We start from the raw sequence: 24,332 nt of genomic DNA, 5'->3' as shown, positions 1-24,332 counted from the left end.
GACCAGCCTGGCCAACGTGGTGAAACTCTGTCTCTACTAAAAATACAAAAAATTAGCCAGGCATGGTGGCATGTGCCTCTAGTCCCAGCTACTCAGGAGACTGAGGCAGAATTGCTTGAACCCAAGAGGCAGAGGTTGCAGTAAGCCGAGATCATGCCACTGTACTCTAGCCTGGGTGACAGAGTGAGATCCTGTTTCTAAAAATAAATAAATATAATAAAAACAAAAACTAAAAATTTAGCAGGCATGGTGGTACACACCTGTAGTCCTAGCTACTTGGGAGACTGTGCCGAGAATATTCCTAGAGCCCAGGGGTTCCAGGCTGCAGTGAGCTATGATTGTGACACTGCACTCCAGCCTGGGTGATAGAACAAAATCCTGTCTCCAAAAATAAAAAATAAACACGGTAACCAAATCCCGTGAGCCCTTGAGATTGCCTTCCTGTCTGTCATGTGCAAAAGGCCACCTCTGTTCATGTGTCCTGTACCTGCATCCAGGTTTTCAAGAAATGCTCATCTGGTCCTAGGTGTGTGGTGGCTGCATCAGGACAGCTTGGCACCTGACCTCTGGGGTCTTTCCCTGCTAGCCTTTCTCATTTTGCAGACTTTTAGTTCTGTGACTCGATGCCAAAACAGTGATCCCCTTGACCACCACTGCAGGACCCCTGCTAAGGGGACAATATTGGAAAAGTATTGGGGAATGCATGACAGGGGACCAGAAGGATGAATAGTCCTGCCTAGGATTCCCCTCCATTCTCAATCCCTGGGGCAGGCAGTTGGGTTCTCACCTCCTTCACCAGATGCCCCTGTTGCCCCCCACCCTAAGAACCCCCTGACACATGGACACAAGACACCCATCCATCTGAGAGATGTTTAATATATCTTAGGTTCAAGGTACAAAACACAGGGCAGGTGCTGATCCCTAGAAAGTCACCTGCCACCCTGTCAGCCCCTGCTTAGCCAGGCATCCCAGCCCCCAGAGCAATGGAGCAGTGGCCCTGAGATGCTGGGTTCCTTCTCTGTTTGGGGAATGTTCAGGTGGTGACATGGCAGCCCAGAGGCCACTATGTCCCCTCCTCAAAAAACCCAGACCCAAGGATCAGAAAGGTCTAGACTTAGACCCAGAGCAGCAGATCCCAGGGTGACCCCAGTTAAGCAACAGGCCTGAACTGAAGCCTGGCCCAGCCTCTTGGCCTTGGTCTTGGAAAAGGAGGAAATATTACCCCAATACCTGGCAGCAAAGGGAAGGGGCTAAAGCAGGAAGTGGAGGCAGAGGTTCCCACTGCCCTAAAAAAATGGACTATGGGTAGCTGACCCAACAGGGCAGCAAAGCCCAAGGGTGAGGCCTGCCCCACCTCCCACCCCAGTTCCTCTAAGGGCCAGCCCCTCACGGAGCCTCACTGCCAGGACACCACTGACCCAGTGCTGGGGAGGGAGTTGGGGCAGGGAAGGCTGGCATCCACTGAAGAATAGGAATGATGCTCTTGCTTTGCGGGCAGGAGCAGCTGCCTATAGAGTCCCCGGGAAAACCCACTAGGGAAGGGGGACCAGCAACCCAAGTCTCTGGGCCTAGCCCGTAGAAGGCCTGGACTGGGTCCTGAGCCAGAGTAGAGGCCTTAATGAAACAGAAAGTGGCAGGGGTTAGGAGCAGGGAGGTGGTGAGAAAGGCCCCTGTGAGGACCAGCTTAGGTGACCCCTCTGACTAGCTCCAAGGAAGCCCAATTACTACTTCAACCCAGGCCCTTCTGGCCCCATGTCAAGTTTCGAGGGCTCTACCCATCACCCAGGGAGCACTTCCCACAGGGATTCCACCTCCTGCTCCTCCCCGAGGCCTTGAGCTACAGCCGGCTGCCTCTGTTGAACTGGATGCACCAGTGGGAGGTAGCGGTGCCTGGGCTGAGATGGGTGTGGTCCTTGTGGCCCATGAGGGGCTGCAGCTCCTGCTGCTGGGGGAGGTCAGCGCTGCTCTCACTGCGAGAGCGGCCAGCCTTGGCCAGGCTCGGTGGGAAGGCGAAGCTAGAGCGTGGATCAGAAGGTAGGTGGAGAGGGACCTGGGGCTCTTCAGTGCCCCGTGGATGGGGAGGCAGGCAGGTCAGAATTGGGGCCTGGTTACAGGGAGGGGACGCTAGGCTCTCCAGGGATGAGATGCTCTGGTTCCAACCCGTCTGCATGTCCACAGGCACAATCTTGGTGGTTTCCGAGGACACGTACACTGCCAGGTCCCCCTGCCCACTCTTCCAGGGGAGCTCCTTTTCTGCACAGGTTGGGGAGGGGGGAATGATTCGTGGGCTTGGGCACACCTCAAGGCTTCCTGGGGACAGAGAGTACACATGAACTCATTACCAATACAGTGGAAATCTCAAGTATAAGCACATTCTTATAAATTCATGCCACAGTTTCCATATGCCGTCCATTTTTGCGATTATCGGATGAATGTCTTGCTGAGGCGAAGTACCACAGCTTGTTTTACTCTCCACTCTATCCCCAACACCTAGCACAGGGCCGGGCACACAGTAGTTGCTCAAGAAATTGAACATTATTTTCATCAAAGAAACGAAAATAAGGAAAGTTGGCTTATGGCTCATGCCGTAATCCCAGCACTTTGGGAGGCCAAGGTGGTGGATCACCTGAGCTCAGGAGTTAGTGACCAGCCTGGCCAACATGATGAAACCCTGTCTCTACTAAAAATACAAAAATTAGCCAAGCACAGTGGCACACGCCTGTAATCCCAGGTACTCGGGAGGCTGAGGCAAGAGAATCACTTGAACCCGGGAGGCAGAGGTTGCAATGAGCCGAGATCTCGCCACTGCACTCCAGCCTGGGTGAAAGAGTGAGACTCTATATAAAAAATAAATAAAAATAAAAAATAAGAAGATAGCAAAAGCAGGAGCCAGGCAGGAAGCCCCATCTCCAGTCCCCTCACCCTACTGCAGCACTGGTCTCTGAAACAGCCTCCTGCCAAGCCCCATCCCAGCCAACCAGCGAGGGAGAAACGCCAGCCACCAGAGAGGGAAAGAAAGACCTGGAGGCTACAGGCCAAAGGTTTTTCTGCTGAGCATCCTGCCTGAGTACCCACCACAGCCCTTTGGTGGGACAAAGCCCAGGAGTGTGAGCTCATGCAAACCTAACAGCAGGCCAGAGCTTTGCCGCAAAGGGGATGACGAGGCATAGGGGACCTGAGCTAAGAATCCCAGAACTGCAGGGGCGGGGCTGAATTACAGGAAATCTGAGGTTCTGAAGGAGGAAACCTGGAAAGAGAATTCCTCTGGCCACCAACCACCCCAGCTCTCCAAAGTACAGTACAGCCTGTATCTGTTCATCGATAAAGTCCTGAGCAGCCCAATAAGCTTCTGTTTGAGTACATGTGTGAAATGTATTGATGCTATGATTAAAAGTAAAATGGTATCTCTTGAAAGACCTGGAATATTAAAATGCGATAACAACAACAAAAAGTGTAAAACAAAAAACCTTTGGTATTCACCTTTACAGGCTGCTAGGGAATGAATTCTTTGGTCTGAAAACTGATAAATGAAAGAATCAAGCATTTACTGGGTGAACTGTACCTCAAAGTAACCAAATAATTGATGAGGCGAGGTTTTTTGTTTTTTTGTTTGTTTGAGATGGAGTCTTGCTCTGTCACCTAGGCTAGAGTGTAGAGGCACGATCTCAGCTCACTGCAGTCTCCACCTCTCAGGTTCAAGCTATTCTCCCATCTCAGCCTCCAGAGTAGCTGGGATTACAGGTGCCCACCACCATGCCTAGCTAATTTTTTTTTTTTCGTATTTTTAGTAGAGACAGGTTTTCACCATGTTGGCCAGACTGGTCTCAAACTCCTGACCTCAGGTGATCTGCACACCTTGGCCTCCCGAAGTGCTGGAATTATAGGTGTGAGCCACTGCCTGTGGATTTACTGGTTTAAAGGAAATTTAAGAGACAGAGAAACATATTAAATGACACTTTGGGGATGCAACCAACAAAATCCAGACAGAGAAAGACTGTAGGACAAATAAGCAGGTTTCTTCAGTAAATACATCGTGAAGAAAAAAAAGTAGGGGGTTTGGGGGAAACTATGGATCAGGGTTTATCAAAGTTGACACTTGACATTTTGGGACAGCTACTCCTTTGCTGGTGAGGGTTGTCCTGTTCATTGTAGGATGTTTAGCAGCATCCCTGGCCTCTACCCCTCCATCCAAGGCCATCCTCCCCAGTTGTGACAACCAAAAATGTCTCTGGGCATTGCCAAATGTCCCCTGGGGGAGCAAAATCACTCCACCACCATCCCCCTGGAGAATCACTGCTATAGGTTAAAAGGGACATTGGACAAGCCTACTGTAAAAATATATATATATATATATATATATATATATATATATATATATATATATATATAATCAGGGAAATTTGAACGATGTTTGATGACAGATTTTTAGATATGGGAAAGGCATTGTGGTTACATATTTTTTAAAGAATCCTTTTTTCTTCCCCAAGAGACAGAGTGTTGTTCTGTTGCCCAGGCTGGAGTGTAGTGGCGTGATCATAGCTCACTGCAGCCTCAGCCTCCTGGGGTCAATTGACTAGAGGCATGCATCAGGAATCCTTATCTGAGGCCGGGTGGAGTGGCTTGAGCCCAAGAGGTTGAGGAAGCAGTGAGTCATGATCCGGCCACTGCACTCTTGCTTGGGTGTCAAAGAGAGATCCTAACTCAAAAAAAAAAAAAAAAAAATCCTTATCTGGCTGGGCATGGTAGTTCACGCCTTTCATCTCATCACTTTAGGAGGCTGAGAAGTAAAGATCACTTGAGCTCAGGACTTTAAGACTAGCCTGGGCAACATAACAAGGCCTCATCTCTACCAGAAAAAAAAAAAAAAAAAAGGCTGGGCATGATGGTGTGTGCCTGTAGTCCCAGCTACTCGGGAGGCTAAGGCAAAAGGACTGCTTAAGTCGGGGCATTCAAGGCTGCAGTGAGCTATGATCGCACCACTGCACTCCAGCCTGGGTGACAGAGAGAGACCATCTTGAAAGAAAAAAAAAGAATCCTTATATTTTAGAGACATGTACTGAAGTATTTATTGATAAAGTGATATGATATTTGAGACTTGCATCAAAGGAACCCAGTGGAGGGTGGGGCATAGGTGAGGTTTAGGTGAAATAAGATTGGCTATGAGTAGGTAATTATTGAAGCTGGATAATGGATAGATGGGAGTTTATTTTATAGTTCTATCATTGTATATTTTGAAATTTTCTATAATAAAAAATGTTTAAAGACACTTGAGGGTGCCAACCACCAGTGATACTAACAATATGAGTGAATTAGGTCTCTATACATACAGAAAAATGCTTATATACTGTATTTTTGTCCACAATAACTCCATTTTGATGAATTCAGGCTGCTCCTCCAGGTCAGGCTGCCACCTTCACCTGGGGATCTACTTGAGGGCATGGGTCTCAACAGAGCCCATGGTTTGCTCACCACCTCCTATTCCTCACTAGACTACAAAGGGAGGCAGCATGGCCTTGAAAGGGTGTGGGTGGGCACGGTGGCTGACACCTGCAATCCCAGCATTTTGGGAGGCCAAGGAGGGAAGACTGCCAGGAGTTTGAGACCAGCCTGGGCAACACAGTGAAACCTCATCTCTACAAACAATTTTTAAAAATCAGCTGGGTGCTGAGCACGGTGGCTCATGCCTGTAATCCCAGCACTTTGGGAGGCCGAGGAGGGCAGATCACCTGAGGTCAGGAGTTCGAAACCAGCCTGACCAACATGGAGACACCCCATCTCTACTAAAAATACAAAATTAGCTGGGTGTGGTGGCGCATGCCTGTAATCCCAGCTACTCGGGAGGCGGAGGCAGAAGAATCACTTGAACCCGAGAGGCAGAGGTTGCCATGACCTGAGTCACACCATTACACTCCAGCCTGGGCAACAAGAGCAAAACCCCGTAGCAAAAAAAAAAAAAAAAAAAAAAACAACAGCTGGGTGTGCTAGTGCACACCGGTAGTCCCAACTACTCGGGAAGCTGAGGTGGGAGGATCACTTGAGCCCTGGAGATCAAGGCTGCAGTGAGCCATGATCATGCCATTGTGCAATCCATGATCCAGCCTGGGTGACAGAGTGAGATCCTGTCTCAAAAAAAAAAAAGAAAAAGAAAAAAAAGATTATAGCAATGCAAGAATGGCATTTAAAAAAAAAAAAAAAAAGAAAAGAATAGGCCGGGCATGGTGGCTCACGCCTGTAATCCCAGCACTTTGGGAGACCAAGGTGGGTGGATCACCTGAGGTCAGGAGTTCAAGACCAGCCTGGCCAACATGGTGAAACCCCATCTCCACTAAAAATATGAAAATTAGCCAGGCGTGGGGGTGCACGTCTGTAATCCCAGCTACTAGGGAGGCTGAGGCAGGAGAATTGCTTGAACCCGGGAGCCAGAGGTTGCAGTGAGCTGAGATCGCACCACTGCACTCCAGCCTGGATGACAAGAGCAAAACTCTGTCTCAAATAAAATAAAATAAATTTAAAAATTAAAAAAAGAAAGGCTGTGGGCTTGGGAGTCAGATGAGTCAGGTTCAAATTCTGGTTCTACTATGTGATGCTGGACAAGTCACAAGTCTCTTAAGCTCTCTAAGCTCAGTTTCCCCATCTTGGTTGTTGTGAGGGTTGAATATTACCTATGTCGGGCATCTGGTATGAAGAAGAGGCTCTGCAAATGCTGGCTGATGAATAAACTAGTGAATAGGAAAAGGGAGTTGTCTGGAGTAGAGGCCATGAGTGAAGAGAGAGGAAACCAGCTTGCTCCAGAGGGGAGGTGGGCAGGGAGGAAGCCATTACCTGAGACCTTGCCCTCTTGGAGAACCTCACTGGTGGCACGAGCCACAAAGATGATCCCCTCATCGTCCTCCTTCTCTGTCTCTGAACTGTCGCTCTCCTCCTCCTCCTCCTCAGACTCCACGGTTAATATCACAGCAGCTGGACAGAGACAAGAGCAGAGTCAGGCATCCTGGGCTGGCAGCTGCCTGTTGGGACTACACAGCCCCAAGCCAGCTCCCTGTCTCCCTAGGCAGAACACACGTTGGCAGAGACACTTGCTTTCTCCTCTGGCTGTTTCAAGCACTGGCCTAAGAGGTGGGGACTTGGGAGGAAGAGAACTGACATTGCGGAGCCCAAGGAAGCGACCAGAGGAAGCTAAGTCCCCGGAGGAAGTCATGAGGACCACACTTTCCAGCTCCCCCATCCTCTTCTTTCAGCCCCAAATCCCACGATCCACTGGAAACATGAGCACTTGGATTGCTGGAAGGCCCATTAACATTCAGCTCATACAAAACTGGCTTTGCAGCCAGGTGCGGTGGCTCACACCTGTAATCCCAACACTTTGGGAAGCTGAGGCAGGCGGATCACCTGAGGTTAGGCATTCAAGACCAGCCAGGCCAACAATGCGAAACCCTGTCTCTACCAAAAATACAAAAAAAAATTAGCCAGGTGTGGTGGCGTGCACATGTAATCCCAGCTACTTGGGAGGCTGAGGCAGAAGAATCACTTGAACCCAGGAGGCAGAGGTTGCAGTGAGCCGAGATGGCACCACTGCACTCTAGCTTGTCAGAGTGAGACTCTGTCTCAAAAAAACAAAACAAAATTGGCTTTGCAGACAGGACACTGGGCCCCAGAGTCCACCCATCCTCCAAGGCCCAGACCAAACTCCCCCATCTCCATGACACATTTTCCAAGTCCTCGGGGCCTGTAACCCATAGTTAGCAATCAGATGCCTCCTGTCACGCATTGTCTAATAACTGCTTTGAACATTTCCAACTTGGAAATCAAGTCCCTGGAGGAAGAGCCCCAGGTCACGGTGCTGAATGCACCCTACAGCGGGTCCTCCAGGATTCTGGCTGGCAAGCCCCAGCCCTTTCCCTCCTCCCTCCCATCCTCAATCCCACACTGCTCCCTGCTTGCCTGTGTCCTGAAAGCCCAGGCCTCGATGTTTCCCATTTGTAGCCTCAGCATTCGCCACACCATCCTTCTGAGGACCAAGAAAGAAAACCTGAGCCTCTGGCCCCGGCTTCCCACCCCAACCCTGTCATCTGGTGGGGTCAACAGGACAAGTTTTCCTAACCCAGCAGGGGAGGGAATTTATGTCAGTCCCAGTGGTTCTACCATCCCTTGGCCAACCAGGCAAGAGTGACCCATGCCCCAGTAAGAAATCTGGATGCATCAGCGTGGGCTGACTTAGGAGCTCATGGAGTTGCCCCTCAAAGGAATCTCCTTTTCTCCTGCCTTTTTCATCTTTGGTAGGCGGCCCTGCTGCCTCCCAGCAGGTGACCACATGGCCAAGAGGCTGCTCCCCCTCTGAAGGTCTCACCTTACCCTTCTGGGACTCCAGGAACATCTAAAAGGGAACCCAAACTGCTGTAGTCATCAAGCCCCTGAGGACTGTCCCAACTGGGGTTCCCCCTAAGCTGGATCCTAACACTAGGGGGCTCAAAACTGCTTGCTGTCAGCCTCCAGCTCCCAAGAGGAGTCCCTGAGGGAAGACATGCCTTCCTGCGGCCAGTCTTGCGGGGTCGTGGCTTGCTCTTGGTGAAGCAGATGTTGTGCTTGGTGGACTTAAAGGACTCCAGCCGCCGCTTCATGTTCTGCTGGAAGACCTCCTTGTCCTGCCGCTCCTGCGCATCCTCTGAGATGAAGTGGCGACTGCAGCTGGCTTTGTACTGGCAATGACAGCCCCGCCTGGCTATGAGGATGGATGCCTTGGCCTCCCACAAGAACCCCAGGCCACAGCCCCAACATATTCACCACAGGACCTGCCAGCCCAGCTTTTCCAGAATTAACAATGGATTGAAAAACAAAACAAAAAATACAACAGGAACCCAGCCAGAGACCCTGTGTTCTCAGTTCCCTGGGAAAAGCTTCCCTTTATCCCAGAACTTATTCCCCCAAACCTGGCCTTCCCCAACCCTTGCCATCCTTTCCCGATTCTCTCTGGTTTGAAGGTGACCCTCTGTCTTGTTCTACTACTGTGACAACATGGGGGACATTTTCTTTGTACCTCCATTTATCTGAGCTTCGCCCACACACCCAGCCTACCTGCCCCCTTCTAGCTACACAGGATCCTTTCTCCAGCTGGAATCTCCTATCTAGCCATTTCTACAAGAACCACCATGATATCCTGGGCTGCACTTTGAACTTTCATAACTATCTCCCCTGACACCCTGGACCTTCTCAGTCCCAATAATTCAGGATCACCCCCATCATCTGCTTTTTTTTTTCTTTTTTTTGAGACGGAGTTTTGCTCTTGTCACCCAGGCTGGAGTGCAATGGCACGATCTCTGCTCACTGCAACCCCCGCCTCTGGGGTTCAAGCAATTCTCCTGCCTCAGCCTCCCGAGTAGCTGGGATTACAGGTGCCTGCCATCACACCCGGCCAATTTTTGTATTTTTAGTAGAGACAGGGTTTCACCATGTTGCCAGGCTAGTCTCGAACTCCTGACCTCAAGTGATCTGCCTGCCTTGGCCTCCCAAAGTCCTGGGATTACAGGCATGAGCCACTGCGCCTGGCCATGCTCTTTTTAACTCTTATCAACACCAAGCCCGCTACACACTCACCTAGACTGCCTCTGCCTCTACCCTCCTTGCTTAGCACCTTTTCATCATCTAGTGGTAATCCCCTGAAATGCTTCCCAGTGCCTGCCAAATCATCTTATCTTGCCTCAAATCCCAAGTCTGGTCCCTTTATCTCATATTTTCTGCTTCCCTGAACCAGTTCTAAGAGCCCCCTTCAAGTCTTCCATCTGCCCTCCTCATCTACCTATGCACCAGGAGGTACCCTCTCTCCTGGGGAGAAGGGGTCCATCTCCTTCACAAGGCTCATTGCTGCCCAGCCCCGGCCTCCACATTGCTCAGTTCCCTCCTTCCTGCCTCCAGCAGTTCCTGCTGCCTCCTATTCCTCCACTCTCCTGTATCTTCACTCCTTACCTCACCACTTGGCTCCCTCCCCTCTGTTTTCAAGCTCCTGCCCTTGCCTCCTTAAAGAAAGTCTTCCCTTGAACACCATTGTCTCCCTTTTGCTGCTACACTTTTATAATTTGATTCTGACACTTTCTCTCCTACCCACTATTTCCTTAAAAACCAGAAATGCAACTCCAGGGTCCACAACTCCACAGTGCTGCCTTCTTGCTGGTCACCAGTGCTGTGGGCTCTGCCTAGGTGCTGGCCAGGCCTCTGCGCAGCATCCAGCCCTCTTTCTGCCCCAGGCCTGAGGCACCACCTGCCACTGCTTCTCCAAGGGTTCCTTGTCTTTGGCTCTCTTTCCTTTTCTCCCATGCGCACTCCTCAGTGTTATCCTTAGCCCTCCTCCCGCCCCATGAAACACTCTCCTCAGAGAACTTATCCATTCTCTCTGCCCCAGCTATCCCAGTGATACAGATCTGTGGTCCCCCAACATCAGTCATCAGACCAGCTGCATTTGAATCACCTGGGGAACTTAGTAAGAACACAGATTCTTAGTCCCACTCCAGACTACAGAATCAGAATCTCCAGGTGAAGCCAGGAAGTTCCCCAGGGGATTCTGTGGTAGCCAGGTGACAAAACCTGATACAGATTGCTTCCAAATTTCTCTCCAGCCCTTATCTCTCTATTAAACTATAATCTTATCTTTCTAACTGAAAACTAGATATCTCTGTCTCTCTCTAATGATATTTCGATGAAGAACATGAGAAATTGTGGATTGTGTTATCATACTAAGTGGATTCAGAACTGGTTGAGTTACCATACCCCAAAAATGCTTGATCCATGTCAGTCTGGAGGAAAGTCTTTAGTAGCATGCCACAGGGCTCTGTCCTCAGCTCTATCCTGTTCAACATGTTTATGTGGATTTGGATGAATACAAAGTTAACAGGCTTAACAAATTTTCAGATGATATGAATCTAAGAAGGAGACATTTGGTGGCAGACATGGGAACCAAACAATGGGATGATGGGCTAAAGCAAATAAGATGACATTTAACAGGATACACACAAACTTATTCCAGATTTTTAAAAAACAGACTACACATGAACCGATTGGACTGAACCCATTGACCAATCTTATACATAAACACCACATACACACACACACACACACACACACACACACACCTCACCAAATCATTATGTACTTCCTGATGTGACACCACAGAAAATATATAGCATACCTATTGAATGTCCCTGAATTTGATCAGGCCTCTAGATTTAACAACCAGGAAATATAGGGAACGGAGGAACATGTTAAACAACACCACTGGAATACAGTCAGCAAAATCTAGAAAATGTGCAATTCTCCAAGAGAAAGTATCCAGCTTCTTCAATAAATAAATAGCAAGGGAGATAGAGAGGGGAAAAAGAACTATTATAGATTTTTTTAAATGAAGAGACATATTTCCCAAATGCTAAGTGTGGACTTATTTAGACCCTGATTTGAACATCCAGCGGGGAAAAGATATTTATTGAATACTGACTGGATGTAAGAGTTCTTGCCACCTAGAGAGACATACTGAAATATTTTGAGATGATGTGATACGATGTCTGGAGTTTGTTTTAAGATAAAGTGTGGGAGGGATGTGGTAGGGCTGCAGAATGTAATAGAATTGATCATGCACTGATTTTTCAGTGCTGGTTGATAGATAAATATGAGTTATTTTATTCGTTCTACTGGAATTTTGAATAAGAAAGGTTTTTTAAAAACCCCATAGGATGCAGTGAGACAGGGTCTGCCAGCCATTAACTGAGGAAGACCTGGGAGTTTAGCAGATTCTAAGGACAATGTGGGGCCCCAGGGTGGTGAGCCAAGGCTGGAGGGATCTTGGGCTGTGGGAAGAGAAATAGCAAGTTCTAGAACTAGAATGGTGTCAGAGCTTCTAGGCCCTTCCCTGGCCAGCCACAGCTAGAGTAGCAACTTCCATTCTGGGCGCTGTTTTTTTAAGTCCAGAGAAGACATACCAGGAGGTAAGAGATTCTGGCCTGAGGGCAAGAGAGCCTGTGTGAAAGGGAACTGTCTTGAAATTTTGGAAGATGTATTCTGCAGAGCTGCGAAGAGTCAAATCAGGACCAGTGGGTGCAAGTTAAAGGAGGCCAATTCTGTTTCAACAGTAGAAAGAGCTTTGACTGTTGAAACTGCCAGAACTGGTGACAGCTGGCTTCCCATTTTAGAAAGGTGCAAGGTAATGGCTTGCTGCCCTCTTGTGGGGTTGCAACAGACTCTCTCCTGGATGAGCTGGGCCTTTCCAGACGCAAAGCTTCATGATCTGCATTGGACTAACTTCCATTATTTAAAACAGATGCCCACCTTCCACAGGCTAAGCTGGTCTAGGAGGCTTCCTCAGTGCTCTTGCTTCTGTCTGTGACTCCATCATTCTCCAGTGACCCTCAAGGCCCCCAGTACTCTGTCTCCTCCTCCTCTCACCATCAGAGCCAATCACCTAGGCCTACGTGCCCCTCTTCTTTCCCACCGCTCAGCCCTAATCCACAATATTTCACTCCATCTTCCCAACTGGCTGTCCCAGCTTCTCAACTCACCCCCTCCAATTTGATCTGCACTCTGCTACCAGAGAAGGTATCCTTAAACAGTGCTTGTATTAGGTCAACCCTTTCTCCAAAAAATAAAAACAAAGCAGAGGTTTCTTATTACTGATGAGATAAAACCCACACTCTTTTTTTTTTTTTTTTTTTTTTTGAGATGGAGTCTTGCTCTGTTACCCAGGCTGGAGTGCAGTGGTGAGACCTCAGCTCATTGCAACCTCTGCCTCCCGGGTTCAAGCGATTTTCCTGCTTCAGCCTCCCGAGTAGCTGGGATTACAGGCATGTGCCACCGCACCCAGCTAATTTTTGTATTTTTAGTAGAGATGGGGTTTCATTTTTACCATGTTGGCCAGGCTGGTCTCAAACTCCTGACCTCAAGTGATCCGCCTGTCTTGGCCTCCCAAAGTGCTGAGATTACAGGCATGAGCCATCGCACCCGGCTGAAACCCACACTCTTTAGCTGGGCATCTGCAGCTCTCCAACAAGCTGGCGCCAACTGCCTCTTAAGCTCTCCTCAGACCACCTCCACCCCCTCAAAATCCTGATGCCTGCCTGCTCTCACCCTACGGCGCGGCTTGTAGAGGCCTCCGCAGAGCAGATGATGCATCACAGCATCCTCACGATCCCGGCCGCTGCGTACTGTGTCAATCACCTGCAGATCCAGACACGCTCCACTGCCACTCTCCCTCCTGCAGGAGGCAGGGGACACATGTGCTGGAGAGGGGGCAGGAGGCAGTCCAGGAGAAGGGCAGATGAAAAGGTGCTGACAAATCTCCCCCAGAAGGGACTCAGAGAGAGGGCACAATGGAGAGGAGTATGAGGAAGGGGAAGGGGCTCAAGGACTCACAGCAGGTTGGTGACAGAAGTTTCTGCCACAGAATTGCGGCTGGGCATAGAAGGCAGAGTGAGACCTGTGGAAGACAAGACGTGGCCTCCCTGCAGGTGTCAAGACCAAGGTCAGCCAGCAATCAGATGGAGGGTTGCCCAGGAGTCAGGGGTAATAAAGAAAATAATAATAACGAACACTTAGTTTACTCTTTTGACATGCCAGGTACTCTGCTAGGCACTTTACATATCGAATTCACAAAATCTATAACATAGGTACTTGTATGCCTGCTTTCTATTTTTTTTTTTTTTTTTTTTTTTTGAGACAGAGTCACTCTATCACCCAAGCTGGAGTGCAGTGACACGATCTCGGCTCATTGCAACCTCTGGTTCCCGGATTTTTTTTTTTTTTTTTTTGAGACACAGTCTTGCTCTGTCACATAGGCTGGAGTGCAATGGTACAATCTCAGCTCACTGCAACCTCACTGCAAACTCCACCAGGGTTCAAGCGATTCTCCTGCCGCAGCCTCCCAAGTAGCTGGGTCTACAGGTGCCCACCACCACGCCTGGCTAGTTTTTGTATTTTTAGTAGAGACGGGGTTTCACTATGTTGGCCAGGCCGGTTTCGAACTCCTGACCTCATGATCCACCCGCCTTGGCCCCCCAAAGTGCTGGGATTACAGGTGTGAGCCACCGTGCCCAGCCCGCTTCCCAGATTTTAGCGATTCTCCTGCCTCAGCCTCCAGAGTAGTTGGGATTACAGGCATGCACCACCATGCCTGGCTAGTTTTTGTATTTTTAGTAGAGACAGGGTTTCACCATGTTGGCCAGGCTGGTCTCAAACTCCTCACCTCAAGTGATCTACCCACCTCAGGCTCCCACAGTGCTGGGATTACAGGCGTGAGCCACCGTGCCCAGCCTCTTATGCCTGCTTTCTTACAGCTAAGGAAACAGGCTCAGAGAGTGTGCTTACCCAAGGTCACAAGCTTGGAAGTGATAATGGTTGAGCTGACCCCAGAGTCCAGCTGTTTCCCACCTCTCTGGACTGCCTGCCAGACTCTGAATGTCAGCACCAGACCCAGCTGCTTCCTGCCGCTGCCACTTCACCAGACCATGGAGCCAGCTAGGAATTCCCAACTCCCTGCTCAGGGCCAGCCTGCTTGCCACCCCTTTCTGTCCTGCTCTGCTGACCATCTGCCCACCCACCACTGGCCCACCTGGAAGCTGCTGGCCCACCTGGTCCACAAAGCTGATGGCATCCCGGATGTTAAGCCTGTAGTACACATCCCAGATCTGGTCCCGGATGCGGTAGGCTGATCGTCGCATCAGCAGCTGACTCAGGTATTTCTTGTCAAACTGCTCCCACCTACAGAGGATGCCAGGCCCGGCCCTGAGTCCCATTCCCAAGGCCTGGCCAGGTGGCCCTTCCTCAGACGGGGCAAGGACACCGTCAGCACTGGCCTGGCTTTTTAGATATGGGCCTCAGCCAGAGAGAATCTCAAGGCTAGTCCCTGCCCTCATGGAATTTACAATGTCATGGGAAAGGCTGACAGTAACTGAAATTATTACAAATCACTGTAAAATTGCAACCATGACAAGAACTACAAAGGATAATTAGAGAATATGACACAGATACGTCCTAGCCAGGGAGGCCAGGGAAGTCCTCCCTAAGGAATTGAAGCCTATGGTGAGTTGTGAAGGATGAATCGAAGCTGAGTAAGTGAGAGGGAGGTGAAGGAGTGTTCTAGTACAGAGAAGGTCCCAGTGGCCAGGCTGGGGGAGCATGGTGGGTCCTGAGGATCTAAGACAGGGTCCATGGAATTAGCAGGCAGACAGTCAAAGACAGAGCAGAGCATGATGAGGCTGGAGTCTGGCAGTTGCCAAACCATGCAGGGCCAAGCAGGCCACACTGGGGAGCCTTGTCTTAACCTGAGAGCACTGGGATGCCACTGAAGGGCTTCAGGCAGAGGTCACCCAGCCTGAACCTGGCTCTGTCCCTTCTCAGAAGTGTGGCACATCCCCCATGCTTCCCTGGCTGGTGGGGCTGCTGCTGCTGAAGGAGCCTCGGGGCAGCTCCCTCACCTGTCCCTCCAGTAGTGGTAGCCATGGTGCCCCACAACGTCCTCCACTGCAGCCAGAATGTGGTCAAAAGTCTAGAAGGGGGGTGGGTAGGGGGACTGGATCAGGACTCTGCCCAAAATAGGAGAAGGTCGAGAGGGACAGGCGAGGGCTGGGGTTCTGATACCCACGTGTTCATGCAGCTCCTGGTTCAGGGTGGGTTTGTGATGCTCACTCCTCTTCACCTTCAGCCATTTGACCAGTGGCTTGATGGTCAAGCCCTATGGACAGGCAGGAGGTGAGCCCTGCCCTATTCCTATTCAGTTCCCTGCTGCCTTTCTCTCCCCGTAATGAGGCTTCAGCTTCAGTACCCCTACCCCACTGCACTCAAGGTCTGGGAAGTCAGGGCCCTCCATCTCCCAGCGGGAAGAGAAGCCCCTGTCCCACAGGCTCCAAGACTCCCCCAGGGCCTGCCCAACCCTCTCCCTACCCAGCCTTGTGGGCACTCCCACCTGCACGATGACTGTGAAGAAGACCACTACAATAGTGGTGGCTACAAAGTAGTCCTTGGCAGGGACCTTGGTCCTATCCAGTAGGATGACGAGAGCAAAGGCCACAGCCCCCCGCAGGCCCCCATAGGACATCACCACTTGGTCAATCTTGTCCAGAGGGACTAGCCGGAACTGATTCAGCACCCAGGTCTGCAGGACTACGCCTACAGCGGGAGGGAGGCCAGTGGGAGCAAAGCGTTGGGAGTGGAGGACGTGGGACCGGATGGGACCAAGTATCTGGGCTGAGGTCTAACAGGGGCTGGGACAGGTGAGCAACAAGAGGAGGCTTAGGAATTGACAAAGATGTGGACTCAGATAGGGAGATGAGCTGCAGGGAGGGGCGGGACAGGAAGGAGAGTGGGAAAGCAGAGGGTGCCAGCAATACCGAGGGCTCGGAAGAACAGGATGAAGATGAGGGTGCCCAGCACCAGCCCAGAATCCCAGGCCCACTTAGAAGAGTCCACGGCTGAGATGCCAAGCAGCATGAAGATCACGGTCTCAGCACAGCTGGCTAGAGTCTTCATTGTATATTTGACAGTTGTGCGTGACTTATGGGAGATGTTGGCCTCCACGTACTTCTTACAGCCCAGGCCACACATGGTCACCCTGGGAGAGGATGGAGAGACATGGCAAGTGGGGAAGGGTTCCAGGGGGCTCAGCCTCCAGGGTTTGAGCATACTGCAGGAGGGGGCATTGCCCATTACAGGATGTCAGACTCTCAGAGCTGAAGCCCAGGGAGGCCTGAAGACTTGAATGGTAGTGCTGGGCTAAGAGTCCAGATCTCCAGGCTTCCCATTCAGTGTCTCCTGGAAGGGAAGGTGGAAGGAACGTGCTCTGACTAGCGGGCTCTCTAATGCACCTTCTGGAGTGCTGCGGCCTCCAGAGCTGGTGGCCCCAGGCCTTAAAGTCTACTTCCAGCCCAGCCTACACCCAGAGGGTTTCAGGGTGCTGAGGACAGCTCTGGGGGCAGCTCCTGAAATATTGCTGAGGTTTACTGACTCCCCAGGACAGTCTGAGGCTCCCACTACCACAAGGGCTCAGGGAAACCTATGGACTCCTGAAGTTCCTGCCTGTGTCCCTATGAGGGGCAACCATCTCCAGTGCCCCCTCCCAGCTATCTGCCTGCAAGGCCCCCAGAACTCACGCAAGAATGGCGGAGAGCGAGGCCATTTCAGCAGTGAGGTAGGCTGCGTAGGCGAGGAGGAAGACCAGCAGCGGCTCGATGATGCGGACCCGCTTGGTGAAGCGTGTGGTCAGGGCCAGGAGGAAGGCAAAGACTAAGCCCACGGCTGCCCCGCCCAGACTGACCACAAACAGGGAGGCTGGGGGAGGAGTGGGTTGTCAGCATGACCCCTGGCCCGGACCCTACCCGGGCTGACAAGACTGCTGCCTGGCAGGGAGTGAGGGATGATGCCCACCGCACTCCCAGGGGCTCAAAACCCCAGAGCCAGGATCCCTGGCAAGCCCCTCCCAGACCCCATTTCTCTATAGAGGAGATGAGGCAACCCGAATAGCCTCTTCTGTCCTGATGCGGGGTGGGAGGGCCTCAGCAACCCAGGGGAGGCAGACCTCCAATGCCAGCTGGGAGCGGGGAAATACTGACCGACTCCCTTCAGGTAGTCAGTGGCCTGCACATTGGCAGAGCCCATCTCCACAAAGGAGTTGCAGACCTTGTACAGCACCTGAGCGAGAAGAGGAGAGTCAGCAGTGAGGCGGGAAGGCAGCAACTGGGACTGCTGGGAGACAGACTGCTGGGAGAGCAGGGTGAAAGCAGACAGCATATTTCTGCCCCAGGGGACCCAAGGGAAGGGACTGAGTCTGCGCAGACCCCTAGTTGGTCAGAGCATGCAGCCTGGGGTCAGGGAATGGCAGTCAGCTGAGCACGCTCACCACGGTGACAGCATCGTTGAGCAGGGACTCGCCAAAGACGATGATAAAGAGAGTCTCATTGACGTGCACCTCCTCAAAGACAGCTAGCACGGCCACGGGGTCCACCGCCGAGATGAGGCTCCCAAACAGCAGGAAGTCCAGTAAGCCAGCCTGCACCCTAGGGGCTATTAAGGGACATGTGTAGGACAGGCCAGTCATTGAAGACGACCCAGTCTCCTGGAGCACGCCCTGGAACAAGCCCAGGCCCCACCCCTGCTGATAACAGCAAGGAAGCCCAAAGAGGACTTGGGATGGCAAAGACAGCATTAGCCTGCAGATCAGGAGACTTCAGTCAAGCTACCTATGCCTAAGGTCTGGCTTTGCCACTTACCAACTGTGTGATGCTGGTCCGTCACTGTCATGTGGCTCACCTTAGCCATGCCTCCTCATCTGCCTGCCTCACAAGATTGTTTCAAAACTCAACCCAGCCATTTGGAATAGGGAAAAAGCCCAGGTACAGTGACTCATGCCTGTAATCCCAGCACTTTGGGAGGCCGAGGTGGGCTGGATCACCTGAGGTCAGGAGTTCAAGACCAGCCTGGCCAACATGGTGAAACCCTGTCTCTACTAAAAATACAAAAAGTAGCCAGGCGCAGTGGTGCAGGCCTGTAATCCCAGCTACTTGGGAGGCTGAGGCAGGAGAATCACTTGAACCAGGGAGGCGGAGGCCGCAGTGAGCCGAGATTGTGCCACTGCACTCCAGCCTGGGTGACACAGTGAGACTCAGTCTCAAAAAATAATAATAAATAAAATAAAATAGGGAAAAAGCACTGTAGCAACAGTAATAATAACTACCAGCAAATGGAAATTGGCTGCTAACTATTTTTATTAGGGGGAATAACAAAAGAGAGTGCTTTCTCCCACACCTGTGGTTCCCGGCCAAAGGGATGTGACACAATTCTCAGCAGGTGTGGAGAACTGAATATAGTAAGAAAAGCAACACAGATCGGACTTGAATATGTCATATAATTTCTATGAGCCCCAGTTTCCCCATGTCTAAATTGAGACTAATAACAATATCTACCTCAAAAAGTTCCTTAGCCAATGCCTAACATATAGTAAGCACCCAAAAGATATTATTATCTATTACTGTTATTATGATCTGATGTCCTCCCTTCCCTTCCTGCCCCAAATAGTTCACTACCTCAATAGGGAAACCAGGTTAGAGTCCCAGGTAGCAATTGTAAACGTTTTCTTGTAATACCTTGGAAAAAGTGTGAATCATTAACCTTCAGGGTTGAATGAATTTCTTGGGTTAGGAAATAAAGAAGGTAGCAAGAGAGGGCAACCTAAAGGCAAAGAGCCTCAGTAAAACAGACCTGGGGCCAGGCGTGGTGGCTCATGCCTATAATCCTAGCACTTTGACAGGTTGAGGTGGGCAGATCACCTGAGCTCAGCAGTTCAAGACCAGCCTGGCCAACATGGCGAAACCCCATCTCTACTAAAAATACAAAAATTAGCTGGGCATAGTGACATGTGCTTGTAATCCCAGCTACTCAGGAGGCTAAGACAGGAGAATTGCTTGAACCCAGGAGGTGGAGGTTGCAGTAAGCCAAGATCATGCCATTGCACTCTAGCCTGGACAAGAGTGAGACTCCATCTCAAAAAAACAAGCAACAACAACAACAACAAACACGGACCTCTTCTGCTAACCTTGGACCTGATAGCAAACAAATGCAAGGGGTTCTATTTCCTCATGTGTAAATGTGACAAACTACACAAAAGGGTTGCTATGAAGAGTCAGTGGGATAAGTAAGGAGAGAAAACCCAGTGTAGTGCCAGCATTTGATGGATTTATAATATTTATTTTTTAAATATCTATTTATTTATTTAAAAAAATAAATGTTTAAAATAATGAATTTCTTATAGACAACATATAGTTAAGAAAAAAAAATAATAATAAAAACAGAAAACCACCCAGACCTGGCCTGGGGAGAGCCAGGACAGCAGGCCCTTGCAGAAATGATGCACAGCTATGCCTCAGGGGAGACGGGCTGGCAAATGGCAATGTGGTAACAGAGGGCAGGAGGCAACAGAATGGTAACACAGGCTCCCCAGCCTTGGCAGCCCACATACAGCTGGGAGCCAGACTCCTGCTCAGCTGTTATGCTGCAGAAGCCCAGACTGGCAGAGACCTCAATGAGGCCTGAACCCCAGCGGGAGCACTGCCTTGCACTCCAGAGGGAGGGACCTAGGATGGAGCTTTCAGGGCATGGCTCACACCAGCATGGGCCTCCAGAGCTTGAGGAGAAGGGAGAGGGGTGATGGGTCTGGCAAAGCCCAGGTCTTAGGGTCACTCACCTACAAGTCCAGCCTGCTGCAAGCCCCAGAGGGCAGCGCCTGTTGTGAAGGCATTCCAGAGTGTGCCTACCACGGCATAGGTGAGGATGGCACCCAAGTTGTCAAAGAACAGCCTGCTAGGCATGAAATAGCCTGAGTCCAACACAATAGGAGGCAGCAGGAAGAGGAAGAAGGTGCCTGGCTCCAGCTGGTACTCAGCTTTCTTGGCCACAGCCAAAACAATTCCCCCTAGCACCAGGCCCAGCAAAATCAGCAGGCAGCTCTCAGGGACCAGAGATGTTACTTTCCGAGACAGGTGAAACACTGCAATGCAAAAAGAGTGCAGGATGGATCAGTTTATGGAATATCCTCCCACACACAGGCCTATGAACTCCCAGTTTTGTTTTTTTTTTTTTGAGATGAAGTCTCACTCTGTTGCCCAAGCTGGAGTGCAGTAGCACAATCTCAGCTCACTGCAACCTTCACCTCCCGGGTTCAAGTGATTCTCCTGCCTCAGCCTCCTGAGTACGGGGACTACAGACACGCGCCACCATGCCCAGATAATTTTTTTTATATTCTTAGTAGAGACAGGGTTTCACTATGTTGGCCAGGCTGGTCTTGAACTCCTGACCTCATGATCCGCCCACCTTGGCCTCCCAAAGTGCTGGGATTACAGGTGTGAGCCACCGCGCCTGGCCAACCTTCTAAGACTGGGACCAAGGGAGGAGAAATATGCAAGACTTCTAGAATTTCCAATCTCCAGGGCTACAAACCCTCCCCTGCAGTCAAAGTCATCTGTTTCTTAGTGCTCCTGTCACACTATGGTAACCTAGGCCTTTACTGCTTTTTCCCCTTCTAGAAATGTCCCTTCCTTTATACTTTCATCCTCAGGGGACCTCACCTTTCTCTGACAACCCTTATCCATAGCCATTATTTGAACCTCAGCTAATGCTACCCAGTATCTTTTTATATGTAAGAAAGCTGTAAAAATCAGGGTCTTTGGAGTCAAGTTGCTTGGATTCAAAGCTTAGTTCTGTGATCTTAGGGCAAATAACTTCATGTCTCTGACTCAGTTTTCTCATCAGTGAAATGGGAGTAAAAACGATAATGATCTCATAAGATTATTGTGACCATTAAAAAAGACAATCTACAGGCGGGGCGCGGTGGCTCATGCCTGTAATCCCAGCACTTTGGGAGGCCAAAGTGGGCAGATCACCTGAGGTCAGGAGTTCTGGATCAGCCTGGCCAGCACGGCGAAACCCTGTCTCTACTAAAAATACAAAAATTAGCTGGGCATGGTGGCGGGTGCCGGTAGTCCCAGCTACTTGGGAGACTGAGGCAGGAGAATCACTTGAACCTGGGAGGCAGAGGTTGCAGTGAGCCGAGATCATGCCACTGTACTCCAGCCTGGGTGACAGAGTGAGACTCTGTCTCAAAAAAAAAAAAAAAAAAAAAAAAAAAAGACAATCTACTCAAAAGCACTTAGCACACTACTTTACAGTAAGCACTCAATAAATGTTACCTATTATAATGTCCTCACTCCTTAACTAGACCAGAATGTATATTATACCTCCTAGGAGCTGTGTAGACTTCCTAGCCCAATGTGCTTTTCATTATATGGGCTCACTCAGGACTGCGTAGTTTTTAAAACTTTGGCTTTAGCAATCAGAAGATCTCCAGGTCTTCTTCCAGCCTTAGCACATTCTATGTGATCTCAGGCAAATTATTTAACTTACTTGAACTTCAATTTCTTCTTTTGTAATATAGGAAAAATACCCAGCATCAAGGGTGAGGATAAAATGATATAAAGTATGCAAATGTGCCTAGCATAATGTCAGACACATAGTATGTTAGACACACACCAAATGTTAATTAAATAGAACAGTTCTGTCTGTAGGAGGGGAGAAGAAAAGCGTTTCTAGCACTATAGCCACTCCTACTTTTGTCCTCTAAAATAAACTCTTTGGCTCTCCTTTAAGTCCTCAGACCACAAGCGAACACATCTCTCTCTACATAATCCCTGGGGTGTTGGGGAAGGAGACCTCTAAATTAGCCTCTGTGAGACCCTATGCCAAGACAGTGCCCTTTGGAAGCTGTACCCAAAGGGCCTAGAACAGTGCCTGGCACATAGTGAGCTCTATGTAAATATTTGTTTAATAAAAGGGAAAAAGTCTCCTAGCAATGAAGCTGGGGGAAGGTGTTCCTGAATGCTCTGCCTTTTCTCTTGTTCGAGGATTTTCTTTGACTTGTGAAAAGGAGGCTCTCTTCTCTTACTTCCATAGGAAATGTCATCCAAACTAGAAAAAGAACCATGATTTATGGGGAAAACTACAGTTTTTGCTATAAACCCTAAGACAGGAACTCTTCTGCAACTCACAGACTTAGCAAACCCAATCGTTGGCTCCAAACCTGAGGCTCTTTCTACTCTTACTCTCATTGCTGCTGGACCTCTAAGGTAAACATGGTCATAGATCTCTCCATACTTGTCCCTACTTTGGTCTCCCACTTCTCTCCTTCGGGGACCCTATTTCATCTTCATCTCTTCATGCATTAACCCCAGCCCCGAGATCCAAGCCCCATCACAGAACCACGCTCCCGGAAGGCATATTGAGTTCCACTTTCCATTATTAATCTCAGGCTGCCACAGCAGAGTGGAGAGTTCTGTTCCTGCCCAGCCCCCTCACCCCCTAGCAGTGTCCATGTGGGAGAAGAGGGGCAAATTCTAGGCTCTGGGTGATTCCTCCATGAAGGCTGTATTGGTGAGACTGGAGTACAGGCTGTGCCAGCATCCATGGGGAGAGAGTAGCAACGCTCAGCTATAATTAGTCACCCCCACAGCAGAGCCAGCACAACAGGGAGAAGGAGGAGGGTCTCTGGTGGGAGGAGGGACCACTGGCTGCTCAGAAGGGAGGAGGAAGGAGCAGATGCAAGGAAAAGCAGCTCTATTCAGGGAAAAAGAAGTCTGAAGCACAGCCTTCAATGCTGTCAGGACTGAAGAGGTCGGATGTATGAAAGCATCTAGGGTAGACAGCACACAGGAAGGCCCCGATACACGGAAGTTTCTTATACCCTGAAGTGAGAAGAATGTGGACCTGAACGTGGGTTGGGGGGGTACCCATACACAGGCACAAGAAGGCAGCAGCTTTAAGTGGGGAGCAGGGGAGAGCTGGAGGAAAAGTGGCAGTGTAGTTTCCCAAGGGAATGGACACTCGGACATGGTCTCCAGGGAAGGCTGCTTTTTCAGAACCAGGATGCCTGTGTTCTTGGGAGAACACCCTCCCCTCAATGTCCCCACACATCCTCACCAGCGACAGAGGTTTCTGGGAGGCTAGGGATTGGTGGGGGAGAGACCAGACTGAAGAGGGCCTACTGCAAGGGGAAGAGGGGAGCGGAGAGGGCAAAGGAGCCTACAGATGGAGTTGGGGAGAGCGGGGGACAGCCCTTCAGAAAGGCAAATCCTCAGAGCTCCCAGGGGAGAAGACAGGGACCTGGGACCCACAAGAAGCGATGCAGGAACTGGGCGAGAGCCCGGATTTGTGGAATCCAAACCTAAGTCCCAGCACCGTGCAAGAAGCCAGCCCCAATCTGAGGACCGAGGAGGTGGGGGTGTTGGGGGCGGGTCCGCCGCTGGCGGTCGGCCTGGCGCACGCACACACGCACTCACCGATTTTGGCCAGACTGGCCACCAGGATCCACAGGGCCACCAGGTAGGGCGCCTCCACCTCGTGCCACTGCCAGCGGAAGAGCTCTAAGCCTGGGGGAGGCTCGCCCGGGGACTCTGGCTTCTGGGTGGGCTCTTCGGCCGCCCCCGCCAGGGGCAGCGCGAGCAGGGACAGGGCGGCGCGCAGCATCCTGCCGCCTGCCCAGCCGCCCTCCCGGCACCGCACGGCCGCCGGCCCCGCGTCGCCGCCGCCACCTACCGGGCGCCCCCGCGTCACAGGCACGTGGGGCCCGCTCCCCCCAATCCCGGCTCCGATACCCCCAAGCCAGGTCCAGGCTCCGAGACCCTGCCTCGGACTCTCGTAGTCGGGGACTCTCTCCTCTTTCCTCCCTAAATCAGTCCCAGCTCCGGAAATTCCCCAGTGCAGCTCTCCCCCAAGTTCCACAACCTACTCCTTCGAGTCCGCGCCCCCAAACCTCCCCAAAACCG

The 24,332-nt window shown here is 50.8% G+C and overlaps 1 protein-coding gene and 1 long non-coding RNA gene across 15 annotated transcripts in view, besides 5 other annotated features; one reads left to right on the top strand and one right to left on the bottom strand.

Moving 5' to 3' along the window:
* The window catches only part of LOC124903701 (uncharacterized), a 17,017-nt gene extending 6,364 nt beyond the window's left edge, over nucleotides 1-10,653 (top strand). Inside the window, exon 3 of the long non-coding RNA XR_007065092.1 lies at nucleotides 6,937-10,653. This is a non-coding gene — a long non-coding RNA (uncharacterized LOC124903701). The remainder of the gene's footprint in view (nucleotides 1-6,936) is intronic.
* SLC9A5 (solute carrier family 9 member A5) lies at nucleotides 857-24,069 on the bottom strand. 14 transcript variants are annotated; one of them, NR_136664.2, is made up of 17 exons: nucleotides 23,847-24,069; nucleotides 20,204-20,506; nucleotides 17,864-18,027; nucleotides 17,577-17,655; nucleotides 17,118-17,209; nucleotides 16,359-16,579; nucleotides 15,935-16,137; nucleotides 15,614-15,703; nucleotides 15,447-15,517; nucleotides 14,601-14,730; nucleotides 13,387-13,475; nucleotides 13,102-13,228; nucleotides 10,759-10,836; nucleotides 8,526-8,696; nucleotides 7,942-8,008; nucleotides 6,823-6,960; nucleotides 857-2,310 (listed from the first exon to the last, which is right to left on the bottom strand). NR_136664.2 is itself a non-coding variant. In NM_004594.3 (16 exons), exons 1-16 carry the CDS (start codon nucleotides 24,031-24,033, stop codon nucleotides 1,838-1,840), a joined length of 2,691 nt encoding a protein of 896 aa, NP_004585.1. In that variant the 5' UTR covers nucleotides 24,034-24,069; the 3' UTR covers nucleotides 857-1,837. The 14 variants fall into 14 exon arrangements, 10 of the variants coding, with proteins under 10 accessions (NP_004585.1, NP_001310902.1, NP_001310904.1 ...); NM_004594.3 differs by lacking the exon at nucleotides 10,759-10,836 and having other exon boundaries at nucleotides 17,118-17,295; NM_001323973.2 differs by lacking the exon at nucleotides 10,759-10,836 and having other exon boundaries at nucleotides 7,942-8,005; nucleotides 17,118-17,295.
* Nucleotides 2,157-2,414: a silencer, noted in NCBI's record as "fragment chr16:67304537-67304794 (GRCh37/hg19 assembly coordinates)". NCBI's record gives its function as "represses an EF-1alpha promoter that drives an FKBP-Casp9 reporter gene in an ReSE screen in phorbol 12-myristate 13-acetate-treated (for megakaryocytic differentiation) K562 erythroleukemia cells {active_cell/tissue: K562(+PMA)}" and the evidence as "EXISTENCE:reporter gene assay evidence [ECO:0000049][PMID:32094911]".
* Nucleotides 19,731-19,913: a silencer, noted in NCBI's record as "fragment chr16:67287038-67287220 (GRCh37/hg19 assembly coordinates)". NCBI's record gives its function as "represses an EF-1alpha promoter that drives an FKBP-Casp9 reporter gene in an ReSE screen in K562 erythroleukemia cells {active_cell/tissue: K562}" and the evidence as "EXISTENCE:reporter gene assay evidence [ECO:0000049][PMID:32094911]".
* Nucleotides 23,331-23,830: an enhancer, noted in NCBI's record as "H3K4me1 hESC enhancer chr16:67283121-67283620 (GRCh37/hg19 assembly coordinates)". NCBI's record gives its function as "activates a minimal SCP1, AML or CMV promoter by ChIP-STARR-seq in naive H9 embryonic stem cells {active_cell/tissue: H9 hESC(naive)}" and the evidence as "EXISTENCE:reporter gene assay evidence [ECO:0000049][PMID:30033119]".
* Nucleotides 23,831-24,332: an enhancer, noted in NCBI's record as "H3K4me1 hESC enhancer chr16:67282619-67283120 (GRCh37/hg19 assembly coordinates)". NCBI's record gives its function as "activates a minimal SCP1, AML or CMV promoter by ChIP-STARR-seq in naive H9 embryonic stem cells {active_cell/tissue: H9 hESC(naive)}" and the evidence as "EXISTENCE:reporter gene assay evidence [ECO:0000049][PMID:30033119]".
* Nucleotides 24,008-24,117: a silencer, noted in NCBI's record as "silent region_7599". NCBI's record gives its function as "represses an Ori minimal core promoter by ATAC-STARR-seq in GM12878 lymphoblastoid cells {active_cell/tissue: GM12878}" and the evidence as "EXISTENCE:reporter gene assay evidence [ECO:0000049][PMID:35858748]".

This window comes from Homo sapiens, chromosome 16 (genome assembly GCF_000001405.40).
Source record: "Homo sapiens chromosome 16, GRCh38.p14 Primary Assembly".
NCBI lineage: Eukaryota > Metazoa > Chordata > Mammalia > Primates > Hominidae > Homo > Homo sapiens.
The sequence above is the reverse complement of the archived record's forward strand: the minus strand, read 5'-3'. Positions and strand labels throughout refer to the sequence as shown.